Source organism: Homo sapiens, chromosome 3 (genome assembly GCF_000001405.40).
Source record: "Homo sapiens chromosome 3, GRCh38.p14 Primary Assembly".
NCBI classification, from domain to species: domain Eukaryota; kingdom Metazoa; phylum Chordata; class Mammalia; order Primates; family Hominidae; genus Homo; species Homo sapiens.
Window position 1 is genome coordinate 108,078,367 of NC_000003.12, and position 17,961 is coordinate 108,096,327.

The following is a 17,961-nucleotide window of genomic DNA, read 5'->3' on the forward strand; positions in this document are numbered from 1 at the left end:
CATTCCTTTCTCTTCCATCTTCATTTCATCTTCTGGCCTTTCAAATCTCATATTTTGAGTTTTCCAGTTTACCTCTCAGTGACCTGCATTACCCCCCAAAAGTTACTGTTCCCCCATATCTTATTCTTTCATTTCCACAAAATTGTACATTACCTCAGAAAAATTTCAACTAGGTATTAGATGATCTAATACCAGTTAGTTGCAGTGGATATGACTGACTGATTACACCCTTCATTAAAGGTATACTTAACAACAACAAAAAAAGCTCCTTTGCCCAAATTAATATCAATAGTAAAAGCTACAATGTAAGAGAGATTTCTGAGCAGAAAGACCTTTCAAATTCTCCTTGCCTACTCGGAGCCATCCCTTGCCCATTCCTCACTGCACACAAATCCCTCTCACAATGCTCTAGGCTAACTTCAACAACTTGATACCTTACTTCATAAAATAAACATCCCAGGAAAACAACTAACATTTACAACACACTTTGGTTTATGCTCATTAGACTGTAGAATACATAAAAGCAAGTATCTATTGTCATCTCCATTTCGGACATGAGGTAACTTGGACTCGGTTAAGCACCTTCTCAAGATCACACAGGTGAATAGTAAGTTGCTGAACAGGGGCTGTAACTCAGACCTCCTGATTCTCAATCCTAAGTAATGTGCAAACATTTCATCAAACCAAACACCCCATTCCTAATCTGGTAGTAGATTATTTTATAAAAGCTAGGCAAATAGTTGATCCAACTGAACAGAACTGAACCTATCTAGAGTTAAGGTTCTCAAAATGTGGTTAAGCCATGATCGGTAATATGACAGGTAATTCTAAATAGAGATTTCAAAACAGAAAGAACATACTCATATGGGGTTGAAGAACTCAGCTAGCACAGCAGGAAACAGCAAGGAGAGGAGACTATTTACTTCAGCTAATTTTACTACCTTCTACACCTCAGCAACCCAAGTTTGTGATAAAAAGGGCAGAATCATGGTGCTATCATCAAGTCTGAATTTGAATAAATGAATTTGAATCTCTAGTTCTCTCATATTTTGGCCAACAAAAAGAAGACCAAAGTAAGGCTAAGCACAGAAAATCTGAAGAAATCATCCATGATAACGTGATTTAATCTCCTGACTCTCCTCTATTCTCTCCAGAGGGAGCATGGCTGGGACTTGTCATCCCTTGGTCAAAGTGTAAGGTTAAAAAAAAAAAAAAAAAAAAAAAAAAAACACAAAAAACAGAAGGCTGAATAATTGGAAAGAGACTTGAAAATTAGTCACAGGAAAGAAAGCACTTGGATGGCAGCAAACAGAAATGAAGAGTACATTACCCCAGGACCAATCAGCCAAATAAAATGGTCCTTAGACCAAAAGTTTGAGAACCACACAATATACAAATTAACAAGTAATACAAATTAAATAGTAAATGTGTTTTACCATGAAGAGTAGATTAACAAATAGGATAGAAATCACAATCTTAAACTTGCTAAACATTACATCAACATTTATTAATAACAGCCTGCTTTTTGATTCAAAGGAGTACCTATCCCCATTTGGCCTCCTCTCGAAAGAGGATCAGGTTGCACCAGGACAAATAAAAAAAGAAGCTTTCATAGAAGTCTTACCAACACGATATTTTAGCTCGATGATCGTTTCACCTTCTCTGGTTAATTCTGTTACTTCACAAGTGTAGTTTCCTGTGTGTGAGACAGCATCACTCTTATCCATCTTCAAAGAGGCATCTCCTTTTAGTAATTGTGAGACTTCAATTTTTGCACTACTAAAGTCAGTGGGGACAGTGGACTTGTTTAGAGCTCCATCAAAGGTGTAAATATCTCTTCCTTTAAATTTCCACTTTACGTATACTTCAGTAGTGTTTTGTGCCTCCATATTAGTAACAAAGCATGGAATGACGACAGTGTCATTACAAAACGTGAATTCTACAGATTTTGTTTTATTAAATAGTAGCTGAGCTGATCCTGGAAAGGAAAAAGAAAAATGTTTCATTAATTATAGAAGTCTGTACTGTAAGATCTTAGGCATGTTACAAATCCTTAAGATAAACAGCAACATTTCCATTGTTCACTTAAGTAAACAGTATAGCAATGAAGAAGACCTATTAGGTGAAATATGCAAACAAATTATATTTTAATATTAACTTGCACAGCTGGAAGGCATCATTATGACTTTTCTTTATTCATTCTCAATAATACAAAGTATACATTACATGCATCTTGGGAATAAATTCAGCAACTATGTTGGAACATGCAGGTGTAGTATCTGGCTTTGGAAGCTTTGAAGTAATCATTACTGCCTACTGATATATGTAGAAAAATATTGTCCTTATCAAGGTAAAATTTTGAACAGAAAACCAAACCAAATATTTTATTCAGTCTCAACTTCAACACACTGCTAAATAGAACTTGCTGAACTGATATGAAATTTATCTTTATCCTTATGCTGCATTTCCAAAAAAAGTGGCAGGTTCTACTGTACTTTAATATACAAAGTAAATAGGATGAATCAAATCATATCTTTCCACTAGGATGGAAAATCTTAAAATACTAATGAGGAAAAAAAAAACATTATCTGTGGCTACTTTCCCATAGCAAAATATAGGCAGCAATAGACATTTTGTATGGGAGTCTTGAATGACATTTTCCCACCCCCACATTTCATTGACACTACAGAACAACAGTCTCCAAATGTATATTATGGGTATTCTTCCTCCAAGAAACCACAAAACGGTGAAAAAGCTAAGTAAGATGCAAGTTGAAACCAAGAGCAGTTACTGCTAATAAGCATCCTATCTACGCTTCTCAATAGGATAAACTACCAGTTGTTGCCTTATAGAAGAGGCACTGGGTAAATAAATGTAATCACTCATTGTTCAACTAAAATGTACAAGAATGTGTAGGAATTGTAGTTGTCTTCCATATTCTTCAGCCACTCAGCAACTCTTTTACCTAAGTAGCTACTTGGCCTTCCCCTCAAAACATAAACAAAAACAAAACACAAATTACTAACAAATATAAATAAAATATCAACTTTGTTAATAGTTCACACTTAAGATTTACTTCTACATAAACTGGAATAAAAATCAGAGGCATAGAATGTTTCTATTGTAAGAACACTATGTTTACTCAATAAATACCCCATGAATTGAATGCAAGGATGCATACTGGAATATAGGTACTGGACAATGTTCAAAACACCTGAGTAAAAATACTATTTCTGCCCCTTTTTAATATGCTGCCTTAAGCAACTCACTTTTCTATGCCTTGGTTTACTCTCTAAAATAGGAGGATCTCTTAAGTAGGAGGATCAAAAACAAACACCGGGCTACTTCACAGAACTGTGTTGAGCATTAACATGGAAAACATAGCGGCAAGTGCTCTCTAAACAATACTATGCTGTAAAAATGTAGGGTGATACTATAAAAACTAGATAATCTGGCATTTTAATGTAATGATATGGGCCCTCTTTGACTAGTCCAAATTGTTATATTTCTGGGAAATTGCAGTCTGAACCTATATTGTGGGCATCCACAGCTCACCTCTTCCCAGTTTTCTACATTTCTAGCCACCCAAATACTAGGAAGCCCAAGGCAAAACCTGGACTTCCGTTGCATTCTTTAAAACTTTGGAATTGTGAATTATTTCCCCTGAGAGAGAAACACTGAGGGAGAGAGGACATAGTATACCAGAGAAGAATAAAGGGGTGAAGATGTTCAAATTATAAAGGAAGGAAAGTATCAGAAAATATGGTGAAGATTTTGAAAGGGATACAAAGACTACTGGGTATCCTTTCAGTCAAGTGCTGGGCAATGTCTAACAGACGCTTTGGAATTATCTGACTCTATAGAAGCCTGTGCCTTTCACTGACTTTGACTGGGCTGTTTTACAGTTTCATAAGTTGTAGAAAACTGAGAGTAATTCAAATGGATTGCTGTCCATACAGATAAAAATAAATCTTGTTCTGCAATTGATTTCCACCTGGTGGAAGAGAGGATTCCAAAAGACTACATTTTACTGCCCTGAGGATATTGACCAATTTTGCATTTATTAGCAAATTCATTTAGGCATTCTTGATTGCCTATAAATGTGTCTGTTTTTCCAATTTTCTTTTAAAAGGGTTTTGCCTTCTTGCTAGTTTGCTTGTTAATTAATTAGTGAAATAAAATCTTTGACACATGTTCATTTTATATTTGTATGAATCATGGTTTGACTTTCAAGAGATTATTCTTAAAAAAAAGAGGTACGAATGAAGAACTCAGTCATCCTATGAAACTTTTTGCAAAGGCTTTAATTAAGTAAGTAAGAAGTAGTTGGTGAACAATCCACCATTTCATAACATATGTTTAGAGAATGAATTTTCAAAGGAATACAGAAAGCAATAATTATACTGCATTATTTGTTACAATAAAAACATTTTATAGCTGAAGCAATTTAAGTAGAATAAATGCTATTAGTAAAAATAACAGTAAAATTGACCTGGATAAACCACAATTTGAATAACCTTTGCACTAGTAATTAATAAATAAGGGCAGGCCAAAAATATCACTCTAGCTGTTAACTACAACTTCAATCTCTATAAAGATGCATTAAAAAACTATTAAGTAGTAAAACTGTCTGATTTGGGGTTTTTTCCTTTTGCCTACTCCCTTCTCATAAAACAGCAAAGTGAAGAAACTATTTAAAATGTAGAGAGCAAATAAAGAAACACAGATAATTAACATGAATAAGAAAACTCTGAATAAACAAGATATGCTTATAGCAGTCTAAATCAGATAGCAGCAGACAAATGTAACCAAGAGTAATGCCAGAGTTATAGATAAATTAGCAAATAAAATGGGAAAATGATTTTATATCAAATGCCAAAAGTATTAGACTTGAAACCTTCATTGGAACTGTACAAGTATTGGTGAATATAGACTATCAGCCCAAACCATCTCATATCATAGTCTAGAAAAGAGCTTTGTAGTGGCAGAGAAGACTCAATCCATGGTGGTCACAGCACACAAGTTCAGGTTAGAAATTTTAAAAATGCAATCAACATTTGTCAAGAATTACCTGTGATGAAATATTGTGATAGGATGTGGGGATATAGTGATGAAAAAATATAGTTATTATCTTTTAGGAGCTTACAATTCTCAAATGGGCGATGATAAGTATATAATACAAGGTTACAAGTGTTATCTTTTCTGCATGGACAACGTCCTTATGGATGGGCAGAAGAGTAATTGGTCTTACAGATTTCTAAGAAAATTCATGTTGCTAATAGGCAAAAACAGAAGAATGTCATAGTCCCTGCTCCTCCGGGCCTTCAATCTTTACCATTTTACATATTTCATGTAAATGTTCGCTTCTTTTTAACAACTCTTAAATTACTCCCTTCTGCCCTTTATCCCATACTCTCCAACAGTCCTCTCTCCCTATTTCTTAATACAAACTGAAACCTTCAGAGGAGAATCCTGAAGCTTCCAATACTCCTTCCCTATAAACCTACCTGTAACCCCAACTATCCACACCTTTTTTTTTTTTTTGCTTCCTTTTCTGAAATGAATCCCATCACCTGAAAGCTAGTTTCCATTTCTGCCTCCATACCCATCAGTCTCCTCAACGACTTTCCTTAGTTGATTATCAGCCTCCCACATCCCCCATTCCATTTACAAGGTGTTGTTTTTGTGTGTGTCTTTAAAAATTGCTTGAATATTTGCCAACTTAAAAAAAATCCCTCATACTTTCTCTCTCCCTAGCATCCCAAATTAACAATCTATAAGCATTTCCTCACTTCCAATTCACTCCTTAAATCTGTTACGTGGCCTCCACCCATTCACCCCTACTTCTTCATTACTACAGCTCTTGCCAAAGTCACCACCAATCCCTTGTGAAAAATCAAATATGCATGGTTCACTTTCTGTCTTGACTTTTCCACAGTTCTTGAGCCAGTGGGCAGTCTCTTTCTTGCTCTTCTCTCTTGGCCTCCATGGTATCTCCTGATTACGAATTTCCTCCTGCTTTGTCCACCCCATCCTAGTTTGCTTTCTTTGTTGAAATCTATTCCTTGACTCACACTAAATGTTAGTGTCCCTAAGGGCTTCAGATTCAGTACCCTCTGCCCCCTAGTATTTTCCCTGACTCCCATGGTTTTCTTCACCTGCAAACTTTTAAATAAAAAACTGAATCATGCACTGCCTTTCTTCTAAACTGCAGATGTTGGACAGCCAACTGTCTGCTGTGCACTTCCACTTGGATGTAATACAGTTACTTCAAAGTCAGTATGTCCAAAAACTTACGTACCCCCACTTCTTACCCTCAGCCTAAATCACTTTGCTAAAGTATTTTCTATCATCTACCAGTGAACCAGACCTGGACCTAAGAATCACATTAGATTACTCCCTCTCCTTAGCCATGGAGAATTCTTAGTAGGTTCAACCTAATTAATAGTTCCTAAATCCAATGTCTGTTGAATGAATGAATTAGACACTCATCCTCCCCCCTCGAACTACTGCCATACCCTTCTAACCAGCTCCCTGCCTCCATCCTCAAGGTTTCTCCATCCTGGCCCTGATGTATTTTCTACAGTTCCCAAAATAACTGTTCTAAATGCAAATGTGCACTCCTTTGCCTAAGATACTTTAACAACACCCTCAACCCTTTTCAGGCTAAATTCTAAGTACATTAGCATGGAATACAAACGAGGTCCTTCAAGATCCTTTCCAGCCCCACCTCCTGTACTCCCTCATTTCCACACTAAGCTCCAATCATAATGACGTTATTGCAATTCCATGACTATGCAAATGCACTCTCATCCCCATGCCTTAGCACATACTGTTCCTCAAACCTAAATAGCCTCTTAACTGTTATACACTATTACCCCACTGAGTACATAGGGTGTATAATAGTTAAGTGCACACATTAAGGGGTCGACCCTAGTTTAAGATTCACCTCATGTACTTCTTAGCTGTATAACCTTAGGCAAGTTACTTACCTCTGCTCCTCAGTTTCCTCATCTATAAAATGTGCATAGTGATGGTATATACCTCATAGAGATATTGTTAAGATTTAATAAGATAACATGTTTTTGTATCACCTTTCACATATACAGCAAGTACTCAATAAATGGCAGCTACAGTTTGCTAACTTTTGCTCTTCCTACTAAAGCACAGTTGAGTTGTTCAATCTTGTTCCCCTTCCCTACCATTACTCAATTGTATTCTTCCCCTCCTTATTGCTCCCATTGCCTTGTGTTCAAATGTTGTCACTGTACCTACTACTGTGTAATTACTATTTTACTTAACTGATCTCTCCAGGCTCAGAAAGTAAGACACTGTCTTCATTTGGTATCCTAAGAATCTAACACAGGGTCCAGAAAGTAGGATTCAATACCTTCCTTGTGAATGTAAAAAGTTTAAAGTATAAATTCCATAGAAGAAAAATCTAAAAATCATGTGGGAGAAGATAGATTTTTCTTCTGTATTTCAAGAGAACCTGCCACTGCTTCTCACTTGTATAGACTTGATTATGAAATCATGAAGCTGCATATTTTCATGGAAAATCTCAAGTCACTTGTATGGTTGGATAGAAAAGTTCCTTAAAAATCACAAGAATGTGTCTATGAATGATCTTCCTAGAGGGTGATGTTTAAACTGGGTCTTAAAGGATGAGTAAGAATGTTATGGGAAAGAAGGGGCTTTCTAGGCAGAGTAACGTGTACAGCCAGATAAAGAAAGTGAAGAACTGAAAGCAGAGAATTATTTAGGTGAGCTCTAGGAAATGAGGTTGGAAAAGATGAATAAGAAAAATTCTAAAGGGCTTCCTTGAATGTCATGCTGAGTTTAGACTTGATAACATAAACAACTGTAAACCACTCAGATTTAATTTCATTAAAAAAAAAACATTGACAGCAGTGTAAAGGAAGGACTGAGGGCAGCAAGGGAAAAGAGAAAGGGAGATCCGTTAACAGACTACTGCAATAGTCCAGGTAAAGAACAACTGGAGAGAAGACCTAAAACTTACAGTAATCAACAGAAGTTAGTTGTGGGAAGCAGGGGAGATAAAGAGGGGAAAATTAAAATTGTGAACCAAAATAGTATGTGTAGCTAGTTAGATGGTAGGCTAATTATAGAGAAAAGAGGCTTAAATATTTGGGGAGAATATCTTTCCATCTGTCAATGGACTAGTGAGATCTGATGCACACTATGTTTGAGAAATGAGAGAGAAACAAGATGGCTTTATCAAGCACTTAAAATATATTAAGTGGCAGTGATTCTTTTACAATAAATTTGGCAGTGTAAGAAAGCAGAGAAGGCAACAACTGACAATGTGCAGGCAGGAACAAGGGCAAGGACATTTTGGTTCTTGAGGTTTTTTGTTTTATTTTTTAATATGGGGTAAAATTTGATCATGTGTGCAAGCTACGGGGAAGGAGTCAATGGAGAGGGAAAGATCTAAGATGCAAGACTGAAGAATTATGCTGACTGAGCAGGTCTCCAAGATGGTAGAAGTGAAAAGGTGGTAGACAGGTTGTCCTTTCGTTGGAAAAGTGAGTAGGTTTTCTTCTGAAGCTGGATGACGGAAGAGAATGAGACGAAGGTTATCTAAGATGTTATAGATCAGTTTAGTAATGGTGGGAGGGAAGCAGAGGGAGTCCAAACCACACACCACTATTTTTTGCAGTAGAGTAGGAAGTTAATTATCTGCTGGGAATGGATGTTCAGGAATGGAGTAAGAAGTCTCAGCAGCCTCTTAGGTAAAGAAGCAAAGATCATCAGTAAAGACACATGCCAGAAAGCAATCCTACCTACTTTTGCCCCTTAGAACTAGTGTCTGGCTTGAAGAACTGGAGTCTCTAGCTACACTGGGTTACGTACAAAAAGGATGAAGTCAGATCTCTCCTCAATGGACACTAAAATAAAGGTCTGGGGTAGAGTGGGGTGTCCACAAGTTGTACTTAGTTCTGACCCAACGCAATCCCCCTAATGAATTTAAAAGTGGCCTTATAAGAATGGAAGAGGCCAACTTAGAATTAAAAAGGGCAGGGCAGTTTAAAGTCAATAACATCCAGAATTATGGCCTTAACAAGCACCTAAGTACCATGAGGGAATAAAAACAAGATATCCCTACTGTCTATATACTACATCTTAAGTCATTAAGAGACATACTGACATACTGTCTGAAATTTGTCTATATGCCAAAGAGGGCTTTGCAAACTGCTTGGTGTGTAGTATAGGCTCATACTTGCTTGAAATGGAAAAAAGTGGTTTTGACAGGCCTTGAACTAGCCAAACCCCTTGCTTTACCTTTTAACCTACAAGTGTGATATATATTCAAATATGCACATTAATTCTCCTAATCTGAATCTCAAACCATGAGATTGACCAGATTCTGAGTCTTATGCAACTGCTCCATGGATTTGGAATGAAATATTCAGAGGTGGGTGTAGCTTGATTTCTGTTTCAACACTGTATAATCGTAAAGAGGAAAAACCCAGATTCTATTGTCTTAGTCTAGGTATATCAGAATCAAATTTCCTGGGTGCTCTGTATTTTCTACTTTAGTACTACAATGAGTTTAACAAAACTGATCCTACACTATTATTCTTGTTCTTTTTATCACAGAAGAAATATCTACACTAGTATACAAAGTGAAAGTAACTTTATGATAACCCAAGACGATATTATTAAAATCAGACTGAGAGATAAGATATGAAAATAGAAATGTTTATCTTGTATAAAAAGGTAGGCAGAAACCTAAGACAGGGAAAGTGATTGAAAATTATGCCACAAAAAGAACATTACTATATTAAAAGCAATGCCTATATACTAGCTATAGCTGAATTCATACTATGAAATGCAAATCTAGTTTTGCGAATATGCGTGATTATTTTGGATTTAGAATATGTATCAATTTGGGGGGAAAGTCATCTATCTCTCATCTTTAGAACTTGGCCTTTCAAATCTCCATGAACAACTCAGTGACAAAGATAAAACATCTGCCAAAACACAGATGACAGCATGAGCAAGTGTCCTAATGGTAGGCATTTAGTGTAATGCTTTAAAAAACACTGCCTCTAGACTGCTGGGGCGGCCCCATAAATACGTACTTTTAAATAGGCATTTACTTCCTTAAAATGGCAACTTGTAATTAAAAATAATATATTCTTTAAGAGAAAACATTTTTATTTAAACAAGCCAAATTACTACTAGACTTAGACGATGGAAAAAAATTTTATTTAATCATATGTACCCTGATTTAAAAAAAAAAACAACTCATTTTGAACAAAGAGGAATCATTCAACCACTGAAAAGACAGTTCACAACACCATCATTATTTATTTAAAGTTTTATTTGCTAGCTAATAAATACCACTGAAACTATGCACTTTTAAACAAAGTATAATTGTACATGAGTGGGGGCAGAGTGGAATGCAACATAGTAATTCATTTCACATCTTGCATACCATTAAGGTGCCTTCCAGTTTGCCTGTAATTGCATGAAATGAGTATCTGAGATAACTTCTTTTACCACAAAGGCCACTAACACTGTAGAGGGTGCCAGGAAAGGTCCCTGATTCCCGGGGCTTAATTAACGAAACTGAAAGCAAAATCAAACTTCAATACAAATGAATGTACAGATCCATCACTTTCTTACTCATTCTAGATTCTAAAGTCAGTCTCTCAAACCCTTGGTTTATAACTACCTATGTGCTGAGACATCTTTCTTCATACATGTCCTTTTGAAGCTATATATTAAACACATACAAAAACATATTTTATAACAAATACTATCCTGTTTTACAGTCCACACTTAACACAACTCAACTGCATAATGCCTGTATTTTGCTTTTTTTTTAGGTTAATATTAACTAAGTAAAATAAAATACTATAAATTCTGAATTCGATGACTCTAGGGATTCGAACACATTAAAATTGTGTGTAAACGAGTGCTAATTACATGATATTAACTATTACTAAAGAAGGCCTAACATAAATCCTATCACTCAAAGTACCATTCCAACAGTTCTAAACTACGTGATTTAAATCTAACCTACCTGTTTTAAAAATAGTATATGGTTTATACTTTTTACTTTTTAGGCAGTTTGAATAAATGATACTGTATCACTTCATATCTGGTTCAATATGAAGGCGTTCTGAAATTATTATGCGATTATACAACACATCTCTGAAAGCAGTATTATTTTAGCTATAATGATAGTAAAGGCAACAAGCATACTAAACGTGATGACAGGAAACACTAACATCAACCATTTAGATAACGGAGACCTGGATTCACAGTCCCAACATCCAGGATGCTCGGGGAGGGAGGAAAGTGGTAAGCAGAGACTTAAGGGCATCTTGGAAATACCTAAAGTCACAAGCCTTTAGGAACGGCACACCGAGGCTAATAATCAGTTTAAAATCGAATTAATTTAGCATTCTAGAATAAATGTAACAATTGCTGTCACTGGTGCTCAAGCTGAATTCTGAATCTTATAAAAGTTCACAAAAGGCTCTATGGATGTGAAGTGTGACAGGCACTCACTGTAGAGCTACGAATGTTTCTATTCCTTGCTCAGTTTTTACAGACGAAGCACACGTTTTACAAAAGCGAAATGGATTCCAAAAGCTCGGGGTGGGGGTGGGGGGGTGGAGGTTCTTTGGCGTCGAAAAACACCAAATCCCATTCTGCTGCACATGTTTTGACTGGAGGTTACTGTCTTCCTATTTCAGGCGAAAACCAGATTACTTTTAAAACGGTTCCCCCAAATAAAGTGGGAAAAACTTCAACGTACAATTTAGAATGTATGCAAGTGGCTGATGGGGCGTGAGGGTCACGAGAAAGGAAGAGTTTCCAGCAAGCTTATTTTTAGGATTAAAAACGACAGCAAAAATTACACGGCCGGAAGATTCTTCTGATTGAATGCTGAGTTGAAAATGAAACTTAATTGTGTCCTTTACGTCCTCTTCGCTCCTATGTTCATGTGGGAGGCAAACGGCAGAAACCCCTTCTCACCGACTTCGCCAAAATGCGCACTTCCATCGCAAGAGGCCCGGGCCCTCCCACTCTCCCTCCCTCAACCCCAAATGCGTCTAAGCACTGAGAAGGGAGAGGGGTGCGAAAGAAGGGGATCCCTAGCAGCTGCAGCCCCTTGCCTCTGATCGCGCCCTTTCTTGCTAGTTAATTTTTGCGCGAGGTGCGCGGTTTGGAGTCTTCCTGTGTGTGTGCATTTGGAGATGGAGAACCGGGTGGAGGAGATGAGCCCCGCTCTCACCCAGGGGGAAGAAGACGACCAGGGAAAGGAAGGGAGGAAGAAGGGGGGCGCCCGATTCCCCGTGGGGCCCTCCCACGTCTGCACTTCGGGCGCTCAGGGCCCGAGTGTTCTGCGCCCCGGCCACCCTCTTCAGGGCGCCGCCGGGCTGGCTGGGGCGCAGCCCACACGCCCGCGGGGGCGAAGCGACAGCAGCCGCAGGGCTGGGAGCGAGGAGCCACTCACCGCAGCACGCCGAGCCCAGCAACAGCGCCGCTACCAGGGGCCACATCTCCGCGCCCGCCGCGGGGTCGCCGCCGCCGCCGCAGGTGTCCGGAGCAGCAGCCGCCGCCGCCGTTACAGGCAGGACCGACCGCCGCCGCGCGTCACAGGCAGGACCCACTGCCCAGGCTGCACGGCCGCGCGCACGCGCGCTCCCACTGCTTCCCGCCCGCTCCCCCGCCTGCTCCCCGCCCGCGAGAGCCGCGCACGCGCACTCGGCCCCGCCCCGCAACCGCTGCTGTTGACGCGGCGCCCTCCCCAGTCGCAGGCTCCAGACCCGGGGCCCGCCTGCCCGCTCCACGGAGGCCGGATGCCTGCTCCAGGGCGGTGGCACGCGCCGCGCTTCCAGGTCACGTCCTGTCGCACCCGCCCGCCCCTGGGGTCCGCGTGCTCGCCCGCCGCAGGAGGCTGAACCCTGTGTTCCCACGCTCGCCGGGGACCTCATTGCACCCGTTCCTGTCCGCGGGTCGGTTCCTGCCTTTCGCGCGGCGCTGGGCCCCACTGTCCTCTCTCTCTACTTTTCTCCTCTTTGCTTTCACTCCCACCCTCGCGCTTCAGGGGCCGGGTCCCGTCCCGCCCCAGCCCGCGTCTCTCCCTGGACCCGACGTCCGGCTGCGCGCGTGGACCAGGACACCTAGGCTTTCACCAGCGCCCGTTTCCTCCGGACGCGGCCGTCTAGCGCCGAAGCGGTCCCTGAGCCCGAGGCCGCCACGCCCAGGGCAGGGCGGTGGTCGGGTACCTGCCCGCAGGGAGCTTCCACTCGCCCCTCGCGGGCTCTGCGTTCGGCTCGTCTACTCGCTCTGCTCTTCCCTATGCGGTTCTCTTCCCTCTTTCTCACTTGGTTCTTTAGTGTTTTCATCCTCTGATCAGGGTTAATCAAACAAGTTCCATTCACGGTGGTAAACATTGTTACCTGTGAACACCGCCACCACCGGGACTAGCGAGCATTGTCGCAAACAGGCATTAGCAGCGTATCCAACACATCCCCACCAGCAAGGTTATTGAGCTTGGTTTGTGACTGCCCCATGTGCAGCCCTCTGCGCTGCGCTTGGGTTTAACATGCTTGAAAAATGGGTTCGAAATGTGGCCGCAAGCCACAATAGGGACAAGGCTTTTGAATTTATCGCTGAATCACACAGGCCACATCATTCATCCTGAAGCAAAAGTCTTTTAAAGATACTTTTAACCGTTATCCTAACTGATGTACTCTCTTATCAAAAAGTCAGGCTCTGGTGGCTGCTCTAATGGAGTGCACATCCTGTCCACCTCCTTGATTGTTTTCCTCCTACCTCCTGGGAAAGAAAGCAATTTCCCACCACAATACCCCACTTCTCCAAATCCTCTACACAGTGCGGCTCCTCCCAAGCATCCCATTGCCACAGAAATAAAATCCAGCGTATGAAAGTGGCACTGTCTATGACACTCTGTACCAGTGTATTGTATACTATCGAGCTTCTTCCTGTAATTGCTTTTTTGTGTGAACCTCTTCCCCACAGCATTATCAATTCTTTTAAATCCGAGAGCATTTTAAGTATTCCCTCCTCCAAGACTTTCCATTGAGCTCGGCAAACAGAAGGGGTTTAATAAATGTGTTGATGCGGCGTGAGGCAGGCATTGCTCTAGTGAAATTTGATTGCTTTTTTAATGATTGAAAAATAAAAACAATTGCCTGGCAGACATCTCACTAAAACAATGGTTAATAATTATGGTGGTAATGATTTGAATGGCAGCCTTGACACCCCGAGGCAACCAAAGGGACTCATCGATTCTCCTCCAACTGCTGCTTATGTGGATACAAAAGAATCATCCACCAGACTTTGAGCATTAGGGACATTGTGTATCACAGAGCAGCTGGTTGGCTAAATAAGGCTGTCAGCTGTCCCTGATACCAACCAACCCCCCTAAAGCTGAAGAGTGACTAGAAAGGACTGTCCCCAACCTTCAGAGGTGGAGATCGGGTGATGTTCTGTTTTACACTGGGAGCTACTGAGCTATATGCTTAACGTCTTTTTGTGCAGAAAATGGAATGAGAGGCCACCTGGGTGACCACTGCTGCTCTTGGGAATCTAGCTGGGGTATGTTTTGGTGGTGGGGCAAAAGCAGGCATATCCCAGGAGAGACAGTCCAAAGCAGCCTGCCTAGGTTTGATTATCCTCTCTCTGAGATAACCTTAAGCTCTTTTCAGTATTTAATCATTTTAAAGGTTTGCCTTTTAACTTTTCAAAGCATTTTAATTTGGATGTTGAGCTCATCTTATCTGTATGTAAGGAGTTTCTTGGGTAGAGAGGGAGGGGATAATACATATTAGAATGTTTTGAACACAGGAAGTACACATTAGCTATATCACCTAAGTTAATCTTCATAACAACCTCAGAAAGGATAAATGTTATGATCTCCCTTTTTGAGATGAGGAAACAAAGGGAAAGAGGAATGGTGAGCACTTTGCCCACAGTTATAAGTGACACTGCTCTCTCTCTTGTCTCTCTCCCTTGTTCTGGTTTTCATCCTTTTTTCTTTTTACCCTATAATAGCAAAGTTGCTACAGTTTCCCCTTTACAGATAAATAAACTTAAAAAAATCACTCTTGTCACCTTTATAGATAAGGAAAGTGAGGCTTGGTCACAAGCTCAGGGAGGGACGGTGGTTGGACTGAAGTCTCCCTGACTCCATGGCCAGCGAAAAAATTCACAAACTTCCTCTCTCAATGCATAAAAAATTTCCCTTGCCCTCATTTCTGTCTCAACGATACATCTACTTTTATCTTCCTCCCCACACAACATCAAGATCCTGCCACATAGTAGGTATTGATATGATAGTATCTTTAAATGTTTATGTAGATACAATTGTATCCTTATTGTAACTTCATTCAGCAAATGTTTTGCCCCATGGTGGTGTGTCATGCAACGACATGAGACAGTGCTGTCTCCTGGTGCCCCAAGGGGTTGGCTTAGAACTGTATGTGCCTACCTACTCATAGTCTGTGCTTTGTGTAGGGCCAGATGCATCTTTCAACGTAAGGGAACATAACAGCAAAGGATCCCACAGTAAATCAAGGCCCATGATAATGCCAGTATAAGTTAAGTGCACTTCTCTGTGTTTTAGTCTTACTTTGGTGCATATCAGTTACCATCTTTTATTGAAATTATGTTTATATAGCTGTCTTCGTGTTCAGTAATAACTGTTTCCTATACTGTAAGCTCAATGAGGGGAGGGACCATATGAGTCTTCTTTACTGCTAGCCCCTTTGCCTGACACATAGTATGTACTCAACAAATCGTTGTTAAAAGAATAAATAGAATGAGTGAATAAATGAATGACTGAATGAGTAAATAAACCTCTCAGGGTCAGGAACCATATCTTCAATCAGTGTCTGACAAAGCACCTAGCATAAAAGGGTGTTGTGTAAACATATGTTTTATCTTTTATTTTTTGTTTGTTTGTTTGTTTTGAGGCAGAGTCTCGCTCTGTCGCCCAGGCTGGAGTGCAGTGGCATGATCTCGGCTCACTGCAAGCTCCGCCTCCCAGGTTCACGCCATTCTCCTGCCTCAGCCTCCCGAGTAGCTGGGACTACAGGTGCCCGCCACTACGCACGGCTAATTTTTTGTATTTTTAGTAGAGATGGGGTTTCACCGTGTTAGCCAGGATGGTCTCGATCTCCTGACCTCATGATCCACCCGCCTTGGCCTCCCAAAGTGCTGGGATTACAGGCGTGAGCCACCGTGCCTGGCCAACATATGTGAATGAAACTATTGAACTAACCTTGGAGCTGACCTGACATATTAGAGGTTCTTAGCATCATTAAATTCCTAATTTTGACTTATCAGTCATCAGCTGGTTGTAGTTTCAGAGTATTATCTCTTTCTTCTTAGTGTCTCTGAATATGTGCTTTTTTTTGTAATTAAGATTCTTCACTTGTTAATACTTCTGGCCAATGGAATGCAAACTAACATCTGTTGCATGGTCAGGCAACACTAGCAACACTGGATTATTCCATGCCTGGACTATGCTACTTTCAGGCTTTTGTGCTTCAATTACGCTGTTTGCTCTGCTTCTCATAATGCTCCCTCATGTTTTCTTCTTTGCTCCTCAACTCAGAGAATTCTAGCTCATTCTTCAAGGCCAAGATCAAATATCACTTCCTCCAAGAAGCCTTTCTCAACCCTACTTTTCCTCTTTGCCATGATTCTCCATCATTTCATAGGTCTAGTTATCTCTCCCATGATGCTTTGTTCATACTGCTAACAAAATGTGTCAGTAGATATTTGTTTCTACATAATAGTTTCCTCTTCTATCACATTAGCTTGGAGAAAATGAAATTTGTCCTGAGTATATTTGCATGTCTGTATTAGGGTTCTCTAGAGAGACAGAACTAATAGGATAGAGAGATAGGTGGATTGGCTCATGTGATTAAAGAGGCTGAGACGTTCCTCGATAGACCATCTGTAAGCCTGGAGACACAGGGATGCCAGTAGCATGGTTGTCCAAACTGGAGGGCCTCAGAACCAGGGAAGCCCTTGGTGCACCTCTCACTCTAAGGCTGAAGACCTAAGAAGCCAGGAGGCCACTGGTGCAAGTCTCAGAGTTCAAAGGCTGGAGAACCTAGAGTTCTGATGGCCAAGGACAGGACGAGAAGGGTGTCTCAGCTCCAGGAGAGAGAGCAAGAGAGCCTTTCCTCTGCCTTTTCACTCTATCCAGACCCCCAGCCGGTTAGATGGTGCCCACCCACATTGAAGGAGGATCTCCCCAACTCAGTCCACGAACTCACATGCCAATATCCTCTGGAAATACCCTCATAGACACACTCAGAAATAATGATTTAGCACCCATCTCTTAATCCAGTCAAGTTAATACCTAAAATTAACCATCACAATCTCCAAAGTCAAACATAGTGCCTGGTGGAGACCTACGTGTGTCGAATCAATCAAGAAAACTTACAGTGTGGTATGTAGTATACAGAGTCACTTTAGCCTAGGTTTGAGTTATAGGTCAAGCCACTTACTACCTGTTAACCTTGGACACATTATTTAAACTTTCTGAGCACTTGTTTTCTCATTTGTAAAGCGAAGATGTTAAAAATAATATAAATTAACTTTTGAACATGGCTTGAGAATGTAATAAGTTAACACCTTTACAGTTATGTAGAGCAGTGCCTGAGGCACAGTAGGCACACAATAAATATTAGCCCTTATTATAATAATCATCTTATATAGTGAGATTGGTCTCCTAGAAGGGCAGTGAAAATATTATCAAAAGAATCACCAATTGCTGCTCAGGAGCATTGAAGGAGCACCTTGAGTTGGAGAAGTGTCAACAATTTTGATTGAAGCTAGATGAGCGTGTCTATGCCTAGTGGGCAGGCCTTAATTTGCTGCTTCTTCACATTTCACTGGCGATTAAATGCTGAGGGACCCATGTCTCTGATACCTGGC

At 40.5% G+C, this 17,961-nt stretch overlaps 1 protein-coding gene across 8 annotated transcripts in view, besides 3 other annotated features; it reads right to left on the reverse strand.

The window, feature by feature from the left end:
- CD47 (CD47 molecule) overlaps positions 1–12,665 on the reverse strand; it is a 47,941-nt gene extending 35,276 nt beyond the window's left edge. For all 8 annotated transcript variants that reach the window (XR_241522.3, XR_924218.3, XR_007095769.1 and 5 more), the window contains exons 1-2: positions 12,497–12,665; positions 1,625–1,978 (exon numbers count right to left, since the gene is read on the reverse strand). Coding sequence is in view for 4 of the 8 variants with exons in the window: in XM_005247909.3 (XP_005247966.1) it covers positions 1,625–1,978; positions 12,497–12,542 (400 nt within the window). In the remaining 4 variants the exon portion in view is untranslated. The remainder of the gene's footprint in view (positions 1–1,624; positions 1,979–12,496) is intronic.
- Positions 12,389–13,138: a silencer, noted in NCBI's record as "silent region_14591". NCBI's record gives its function as "represses an Ori minimal core promoter by ATAC-STARR-seq in GM12878 lymphoblastoid cells {active_cell/tissue: GM12878}" and the evidence as "EXISTENCE:reporter gene assay evidence [ECO:0000049][PMID:35858748]".
- Positions 13,159–13,208: a silencer, noted in NCBI's record as "silent region_14592". NCBI's record gives its function as "represses an Ori minimal core promoter by ATAC-STARR-seq in GM12878 lymphoblastoid cells {active_cell/tissue: GM12878}" and the evidence as "EXISTENCE:reporter gene assay evidence [ECO:0000049][PMID:35858748]".
- Positions 13,219–13,278: a silencer, noted in NCBI's record as "silent region_14593". NCBI's record gives its function as "represses an Ori minimal core promoter by ATAC-STARR-seq in GM12878 lymphoblastoid cells {active_cell/tissue: GM12878}" and the evidence as "EXISTENCE:reporter gene assay evidence [ECO:0000049][PMID:35858748]".